Raw genomic sequence first — 9,607 nt, forward strand, 5'->3', positions numbered from 1 at the left:
AGATAACTGCATCACTGGCTGCTGCCTAGACATTACCAGTGTTTGTAGTATCTACGTTACTACTGTCTCAGTGAGGCCCAAGTGTCCAGGAAACACCATAGAAGGTTCAGGGAAAGGGGAAAGCCTGAATAGTTGCTGATTGGCAGCTGAACAAAGATAAAGCTATTCCCATATGACAGTGGATTGGAAGGTCACGATAATGGAATTCTAGTCTTACTGTCCATGTGAAGTTAGCAGTATGGCATGCCTTAGTTTCTTTTGAAGCTTCAACATTCTCTGACTCTATGCATTGTGTTAAGAGCATGGGCTTTGTAGTCATGTAGACCTGGGTTGGAATGCCAGGTTTGTCACTTACTGTGTGATCCTGTGTAAATTAATTATTTTTCTGAACTTCATTTTACTAATCTTCAAATTAGAGATTATAATATCTACTGATGAAGCCCACCTGACAAGGTACACCAAAGGCATACTTATAGTTCAACGAAGTTAGATTTATTAACTTGTTGTATGAAGGGAGATTGCACAGCAGAAGCATGGAGCATCCAATCAGGCAAAGGAAGAAACAGGGTTAAAAATAGGATTGGGGGAAAATGGTGTTTAGGCATACTTAAATAAAGAAGAATCGTGATAGTGCTAAAAATGAGCAATGCTCAAAGTAAAGAGATTAACATCAGGCCAGAGTTAAGAAGTGGACTCTGGATTCTGTTTCCTTGGAAACTCCAAAGTTAAGACACATGTTGAATATTGTATCTGAAAAACCCTTATCTGAAATTTTGCACCTGGGTTGAAAATTGAGGCTGTTTCTTGGTGTCAGTGACTCAAATCTTCCAGGCAAGTGTAGGTTGTTCCATTTTTACTGATCTGATTTCAAACGGCAGAGTTTCTAATAGTCTGTGATTTTAGAGAACAAAGTGTCTCAGTGTTACATCCTTTGGTAAAGTAGCAAAAGCAGTATTGAGAGGTTGACCTCATAGGCTTGTACAAATAAAATGAAGCAATGTACATGAAGTACTGAGCACAGTGCTTATCTTATAAGCAATTGTTACTCTTACTATTATTGTTTAGCTGTACTTTCACAAATAAATATACCATAATAAGACAGGATGCTGACTTAAAATGACTAAACTTTAGTTACTGAAAAGCACAATTCTGAAAACTTAGCTAGCCAATAAATGGAGGAATTCATTCTTATGACCTTAGATACCCCATGCTTTCAAGAGGAGTCTAGGTGCAGCACAATCACCTGTTGCCTTTGATAATACTGATTTCCTGATCCCACCTCACCAGAAATGTGATTCAATAAACAGACTTGCAGAGAAATATGTATTTGCACTTTTCAAAAGCTCCTGATTTTGATATGCAACCAAATTTCAGAAACACTCATATAACCAAATGACCATGAGGAAGCATTTCAATACATAAACTATTCCCAAATGATCAGAAGTAAAAGTTTAGAACATTAAAAATAGGCATAAATATGATCTTGTACAGATTTCACTCAGTGTTGTAATGCCCTTTGAAAATCTCTGATACATTGATTTTTCAAGTTGAATACCTTCAGTATTGGTAAAAATAAATCCTATGTAATTAGTTTTTTTTTTTTTTTGAGACGGAGTGTTGCTCTGTCAGCTCATTGTAACCTCCGCCTCCCATGTTGAAGCAATTCTCATGTATCAGCCTCCCAAGTAGCTGAGATTACAGGCATGAGCCATCACACTTGGTTAACTTTTGTATTTTTTAGTAGATACAGGGTTTCACCATGTGGGCCGTGCTGGTCTCGAACTGGACTCAAGCGATCCACCTGCCTTGGATCCGCCTGCCTTCCCCTCCCAAAGTGCTGGGATTATAGGCATAAGCCAGTGTGCCTGGCCAGTAGCTGCTTTTGATATTGGATATTTCCAATCATGAATAAGTCCTTGCTATACTCATACTCCATTCATTGTCTGAGTTCTGCTTTCTGCTGCACCAGCCAAGATTTACTTCTTTCTGCTACATAACAGCCCTTCAAATATCAAGCTACTTCAACTTGTATGTTTTAGAGAAGAATACAGCCCAGATTTTTGACCATTTCTCTTATGATATGCTTTCAGAGCTTCCCCCTTCCTGGTTATTCTCATCTGCACACATTCTTGCTGGTTAATCTTACTAGACTCAGTACAGAATCATATACTCTGAAACATTGTAGGTTTGTGTGATGAGCCTAGATCAGGAAAGTAAGGACGCTTATTCGTAAAAATATCAATATATTTTCCCTTATAGAATTAGGAAAATTATCACAATTTAAATATATTATTTTTTTCATGAAGAATTGTGGTTATATAACTGACACAAAGAAAATATTTTTATTCTAAGCCAACAAACGCTGTCTGCTAAAGTGAAGTTCCATTGCAGAAGACATGGTTATTTTTCAATTATGATAATATATATCTCAGTGATAAATCAAATTAAAATTTCCTCATCACTGCACATAATGATTTAAGATATATTCTTAAATCTCATTAAAGATTCACTATCCCTAACTGCTATTGGCTCCCAGACAATTGTCTCATAGGATGGATCTCTGAGCAACTTGATGCTTCAGAAATGGGCTGAGACCCCATGGGGAAAACAGCTTAGAGGGCGCCAGTGCCTCTTCTCTTCTGCTTCAGGGCTTTGAACTTTAGTTTCGAATTTAGCCCACTCACCCTTCTCCTAACTCTCCTAACAACTTCAGTTGTTACTGAATTAGCTCATATGCAATTGGTTAATTGGGGAGTGATGTCAGTATAATGTGAATTTGTTCTGGTTCATATCCTTTTTTTTTTTCCAAAATCTTTAATATTTTATACAAAAAATAACAAGCAAAGTGTATGATCATAGCTGAAAGCAGCAAGCTGCAGTTACGTAGTCCTTTACACAATGATAATTTGCCTACAGTTATTTTCTTGAATTGATTTGGACATGTGTTGCCTGTGTTACTCCCTAATTGTGCCTTTTCTCTTGTCTCTGTAGCTCAGCTACCTCAATCTATCCTTACATCCATTTTTGTCAAGTAATCTTCAACTTGAAAGTTAAGACCCTAAACAGTATTTACTGAAGTATTTTTATTTATTAGCAATATAAAATTATTTTAGCTGTGTTAGTATGTAACACAATTACTGTTTTTTGTTAATTCTCTAACAAAATTGTATAGGTTTGAGGGGTATGCCATAACCCTTCTTGTTTATAATGCATGATTTTGGAAAGCATGAGGTTTTCTTGAGGAATGTGTATTTTGCATTTTATTAGCACCATGATCAGGAGTCTCCCAACCAGAACAGATCAAGAGACAGTGTGGTTGAGGGGGTTTTGTGAGGCTGGGGTCCTCTGAACTTCACTCATCTCAGTGGCTGTAAATCCTTTACCTCAAACACTTGTGGTCAACTTCAATACCAGTGCCAATATGTCTCACTGAATGTGAAAAGTTAATGGCTGAAAAGATATTTTTATCTCCCTGTTCAAGGCTTTTAAGACATGCCACACTACCACAAACAGAGGCCCATAAAAACAGTTTCTCAGGATTCTCCCATTTCTGCCCTCATCTTAATGACTTCTAGCCCATTCCATTTGGTTTTATCTATTAGGTTGGTGCAAAGGTAATTTGCTTTAGCTTAACTCCTTGGCTTCAATTTCTTGGCTCAGACCTTCAAAGTTGATTAGTATTTCTGCCTCCTCCTTATGTAGAATTCACTTTGGTTTCCCTCAGCCATTTGTACCATGGACTTTCTGAGTGGTTTCTTGCTTATTCTGTCTTCCCTGCTCCAGTTTTGAGCATTATGGAGCCCCCTGCACCAGGGTGATTTCTCAGCAGTGCTCCTAATTGGAACAGCCCTGGCCAATCCTTAAAATGAAGTTGATTTAGTAAGATTGTCATGAGAGAATATAATGGCATTTTTGATCCTGCGGGCTTACTTTCAAAGTCACTTTACCTTCCAATAAGGCTAAGCCTTTTCAATCTTTATAACTGCAAAAGCAATCTAGCTATTAGCACAAACCCAGAGTAGAATTCAATCTACACTGCAGACCCCTAGGCATTTACTTCTCCTTTTATAATGTTTTTAAATGCTGTTTCATATTCTGGTAGCTTCTCCAAGTATGTGACATTACTCCACATGTGGGAGGATATTGGAATAGAAAGTAAAGACACATTGATTCCTTCAAATCAGCAGCAGGTCATTCAGCAGCGCTTTGTGCCAATGTACCATATAACCACTTCCTACTCTACAATCATTAGTATCTATCCTAGCATATCCAATAGCCCCAGAAAGTCACAGCCTGGACAAGTCCTGGGAGACACTGGCTGTAGTGCTATCATTCAAAGTCTGGTAATGCCCACACCGGCTCAGAGTTGGCAAATTCAAGGACTACGAGGTCAAAATTATGTAACTATAAAATTATATAACATTTAACTCTACTAGATTTGCTTTAAAAAGGAAAATAAAGAATTTGTATTAACATCTTAATGAATTTACACAGCATAGCTATTTGGTTGAGTGTTTATTTTATTTGATCAGAATCATTCTTAAGGAGAAAGTTAGGCCAGTGATTTTCATTATATGCAACAAAGCTGTTTGCCTTTCCAAATGCATACAGAAGAGAAAACAGCAATCATATTTCATCAGCTGAAGGAATCTATCAGTATGTAGAGCACTAATGACCATTCATTTGTATATTTAAAATACAGCCAGATGAAATAAAATGTCTCGAATTTCCAGAAAGTTGTTTTCTTCAGTCAAATGTATTTAAGGAAACACTATGTTTAGTAATATAAATAAATATAATTATTTGTACATTAAAATGTAATTGCTGTATTGGAATTAGAAGATCACTACTTTTTTATTTTAGTTGAATCATTTTGAATAAAATGTATTTTTGAGTTGGTATTAAATCAAATAAAACTGCTTTAAATATATCCATTCTATTTTAATTTTACCAAAATAAAATATCTTCAATATTATTGTTCAAACACTGCAATTTATGTATTGAATCAATAGATGATAAAATCCTAAAAATACATAATGCCACATCTTTTTTTAGCTTCAGTGATTAGTACCTTAATTTAAATGCTTGCTTCATAAAAGCGTAAGTAGTTTGTTAAATGTCAAGGTATATTAGGAATGTAATGTGCATTTTAAAATCTGGTTAATGTTAATTTAAAAAATAGCTATGAAAGAACATAGAAAATTAAATAACATTTAATAGTACTTAATATAAACACGATAAATTACTTAAATAAGCATTCATCTGCTCATATTACTGTTTTTACATATGCATTCTACATAAAAATTTTTGCAATTTAGGTAATAATTTAAATGCAATATGTAACATCACTTATCCTTTATTCAAATATTTGCAGGTTTTTAAAATACAGATAGTAAGTATGACTCGGTAATGGAATGTAACATCTCTAATTTCAAGTTTTATGTGTGTGTGATTTAAAATATTTATTGGTTTTACTACATGTTGTGCCTGAGAGAAGAGCAGAAATATTATATTTTAATGGAGTCAGAGGATACAGCCATTATTTAAACCCCAAACACTTGGCTCATTGCTGACATGGACAGTAGTGACTTACTGGTCTGCACCTTTATGATGCAGTCAATGGGGCAGCATTATGATACTACATTTAAACAAGCACATTACTTTACAACCTCTTACAATCAGTTATATTGCCTATACGTTAAATAGGCTTTGGTGGTCAATTTGCATTGCTATACTTATTTTAATGATGAGTAATTGGTGTGGCCAAGGAAGGCTAAAAACATGACCATTGTTGCACAGCAATGTAACAGGAAAAGTTGAACCTCTGATTTACTTATCAAATCTGGAGATAATCTTTACTAGTAATTCTATCCTTTGTGATCTTCTAAGACTGAAGCATTTTGCTATAAGAACCTCATCACTAACATAAATATTATAGACTGCGTTTTCAATATTACAGTGGTGTCATGTTCTTAGTATCTTAATTGTTCTTAATGTTCTTAATATGGAGAACTCCTGAAGGATTGTTACCTTCCTTGTCAGCCACACAATGTTTATAAAGTCAATCTAGACTAGAATACTATTCCAAAGTCAATCTAGACTAGAATACTATACCACAAACCAGTTGTTTTCCTATTAGACAGTTTTCTGTTTTCTGAGGCAGGGTGAATTTCATGATTATTTATCCCATTAGGTCAGAATAACTCAGCGATGAAGACCTTGTACTCCACGATTAGCCATACCTAGATGTGAATTCTGCCTCTACTACCCAACAACTGTTTGACTCAAAGAAAGTTATTTAATTTATAAATATTTCATTTACCTATGTCTATAACAGGAACAAATAATAGTTTTTGCTTCATAAAGTCAGCATGAGGGTTATGCTATGGTTTGGCTATGTCCCCATCCAAATCTCATCTTGAATTGTAATTCCCATAATCCCTATGTGTCGTGGGAGGGACCTGGTGTGAGGAAATTGAATCATGGGGCAGTTCCTCTATGCCATTCTCATACTAGTAAGTTCTCACAAGATCTGATGATTTTATAAGGGGCTCCCAATTTGCCCAGCTCTCATTCTTCTCTCTCCTGACACCTTGTGAAGAAGGATGTGTTTGCTTCCCCTTCCACCACGACTGTAAGTTTCCTGAGGCCTCCCCAGCCCTGCAGAACTGTGAGTCAGTTAAATCTCTTTCCTTTATAAATAATCCAGTCTCGGGTATGTCTTATAGCAGTGTGAGAATGGACTAATACAATAAATTGGTACCACTGAGAGTGGGGTGTTGCTGTAAAGATACTCAAAATGTGGAAGCAACTTTGGAATTGGGTAACAGCCAGAAGTTGGAACAGTTGGAGGGCTCAGAAGAAGATATGAACACGTAGAGAAGTTTGGAACTTTCCAGAGACTTGTTGAATGGCTTTGACCCAAATGCAGATAGTGATATGAACAATGAAGTCCAGGCTGAGGTGGTCTCAGATGGAAATAAGGAACTTGTTAGATACTGTAGTAAAAGTCACTCTTGCTGTGCAAAGAGACTGGTGGCATTTTGCCCCAGCCCTAAAGATCTGTGGAATTTTTAACTTGAGAAAGATAATTTATGGTAGAAAAAATTTCTAAGCAGCAAAGCATTGAAGAGGAAGCAGAACATACAAATTTGGAAAATTTGCAGACTGTCAATGTGATAAAAAAGAAAACCCCATTTTCTAGAGAGAAATTCAAGCCAGCTGCAGAAATTTACATAAGTAATGAGGAACCAGATGTTAATCACCAAGACAATGGGGAAAATGTCTCCAAGGCATGTTATGGTGGCTCTTCCCATCACAAGCCTGGAGGCCTAAGAGAGAAAGGTTTCATGGGCTGGGCCCAGGCTTCCCCTTCTGTATGCAGCCTTGGGACAAGGTTCCCTCTATCCCAGCTGCTTCAGCTCCAACCATGGCTAAAAGGGGCCAATGTGCAGCTCAGGCTGTTGCTTCAGAGGGTGCAAGCCCCAAGCCTTGGTGGTTTACATGTGGTATTGGGCCTGTGTGTGCACAGAAGTCAAGAACTGAGGTTTGGGAACCCCTACCTGGATTTCAGAGGATGTATGGAAACACCTGGATATCCAGGCAGAAGTTTGCTGCAGGGGCGGTACCCTCATGGGGAAACACTGCTGGGACACTGTGGAAGGAAAATGTGGGGTCAGAGCCCCACACAGAGTTCCCACTGGAGCACTACCTGTTGGACCTGTAAGAAGATGGTCACCATCCTCCAGACCCCAGAATGGTAGATCCACCAACAGCTTTTACTGTGCACCTGGGAAAACTGCAGGCACTCATGCCAGCCCATGAAAACAGGCTGAAGTGGGGCTGTACCCTGCAAAGCCACAAGAGCAGAGCTACCCAAGGCTCTGGGAGCCCACCTCTTACATTAGTGTCCCCTGGATGTGAAACATGCAGTCAAAGGTGATCATTTTGGAACTTTCTGGTTTAATGACTGCCTTTTTGGCCAATTTCTCCCTTTTGGAATGAGAGTATTTACCCAATGCCTGTACCTCCATTTTATCTAGGAAGTAACTAATATGCTTTTGATTTTACAGGCTCATGGGTGGAAAGGACTTACCTTGCCTCAGATGAGACTTTAGACTTGGACTTTTGGGTTAATGTTGGAATGAGTTGAGATTTGGGGGAACCATTGGGAAGGCATGATTGTGTTATGAAATGTGAGTACATGAAATTTGGGAGGGAGCAGGGGCAGAACGATATGTTATGGCTGTGTCGTCACCCAAATCTCACCTTGAATTGTAACTTTCATAATCTCCACATGTCATGGGAGGGACCCAGTGGGAGGTAATTGAATCATGGGGGCAGTTTTCCCCATGCTATTCTCATTATAGTGAGTGAGTTCTCACGATATCTGATGGTTTTGTAACCATCTGGTGTTTTCTCTCTCTTGCTGCCGTGTGAAGAAGGACATGTTTGCTTCCCCTTCTGCCATGACTGTAAGTTTCCTGAGGCCTCCCCAGCTTTGCAGAAGTGTGAGTCAATTAAACTTCTTTTCTTTCTAAATTACCCAGTCTCGAGCAGTTCTTTATGGCAGCATGAGAACAGACTAATACAGGTAATTATGAAATAATTGACCAGCTAAAATGCTTAGTGTAATGCCAGAAATATATTAATGCACTATTCAAAAATATTAGCTGTTAACAATATTAACATTCCCATCATATTTATTTGTTAAATAGTCCCAATAGATAGCATGTAGTTGATGGAAAATTGTGAAAATTTACTTGGTAATTACAAAATAATTGCTTCACCTTCCCCCTATAATGTGGATATATCTCTTTGTAGCTGAAAAAAAAATCTCTGAGACATCAGTAGCTCAAGGGATGTTGTTCATTACCTTAAAATTTTTCCATAATTCATCAATAACATCATGCTCACCTTTCTCCCTCATAATGTTCCCAGACAGTTTTAGCTACAGTGCATGGCAATGACTTCTGGTGTCATATTTTTCCCCACAGCTATCACTGGGACTAGTGGATATAAAAGTATCCACCTTGAATTAGCTAAAGACAACACAGTTGCCTTGCAGTACCAGTATTTGAGATTCCTAACTTTTCATAACACCTTTTCAATCTTTGTCTAGCTTTCCAACTGCTTGTTCTACTTCTTCCTCATACATCCCAATTGCTACGTTTCTAATGCCTCTGTACCCTTAGATATTACAGACTGTTAATGGTCTACTAACACATCCAAATTAAACTCAAAATTCATTTCCTCTCAGAAGGTTTCTCCAACTCCTGGCCTCAAGCAAACTTAGGAGATAATGGGGGTCTTTTTTTTTCACAGTGGCTTCCTGTGGGGGTGTAGGCAGAAAGGTCAGAATTATAATACCTAGAGAGCTTTTTTAAAATATCCATATGCTGAGGGCTTTTCTTCCCCACATGCTGTGGGAATGAGTGCAAGAATGTATAATATAAAAATTTTCCAAGCTACCTTTAAAATCCAGTACTTCCTTTTCCTATGACACTACACAGAAACATTGATTCTTGACTTTATAACTCTTTTTTTAAAAAGAAAAAAAAAGAAAAAAAGAAAAGATCCTGTATTTCTAATTCTAGTAAGAAATTTA

At 37.4% G+C, this 9,607-nt stretch overlaps 1 protein-coding gene across 4 annotated transcripts in view, besides 1 other annotated feature; it reads right to left on the bottom strand.

Moving 5' to 3' along the window:
* Positions 1–9,607, bottom strand: part of OLFM3 (olfactomedin 3) — a 194,367-nt gene that overhangs the window by 58,843 nt on the left and 125,917 nt on the right. The gene's annotated exons all lie outside the window — the stretch shown is intronic.
* Positions 7,133–7,634: an enhancer, noted in NCBI's record as "H3K27ac hESC enhancer chr1:102334091-102334592 (GRCh37/hg19 assembly coordinates)". NCBI's record gives its function as "activates a minimal SCP1, AML or CMV promoter by ChIP-STARR-seq in primed H9 embryonic stem cells {active_cell/tissue: H9 hESC(primed)}" and the evidence as "EXISTENCE:reporter gene assay evidence [ECO:0000049][PMID:30033119]".

This window comes from Homo sapiens, chromosome 1 (genome assembly GCF_000001405.40).
Source record: "Homo sapiens chromosome 1, GRCh38.p14 Primary Assembly".
Taxonomy (NCBI): domain Eukaryota; kingdom Metazoa; phylum Chordata; class Mammalia; order Primates; family Hominidae; genus Homo; species Homo sapiens.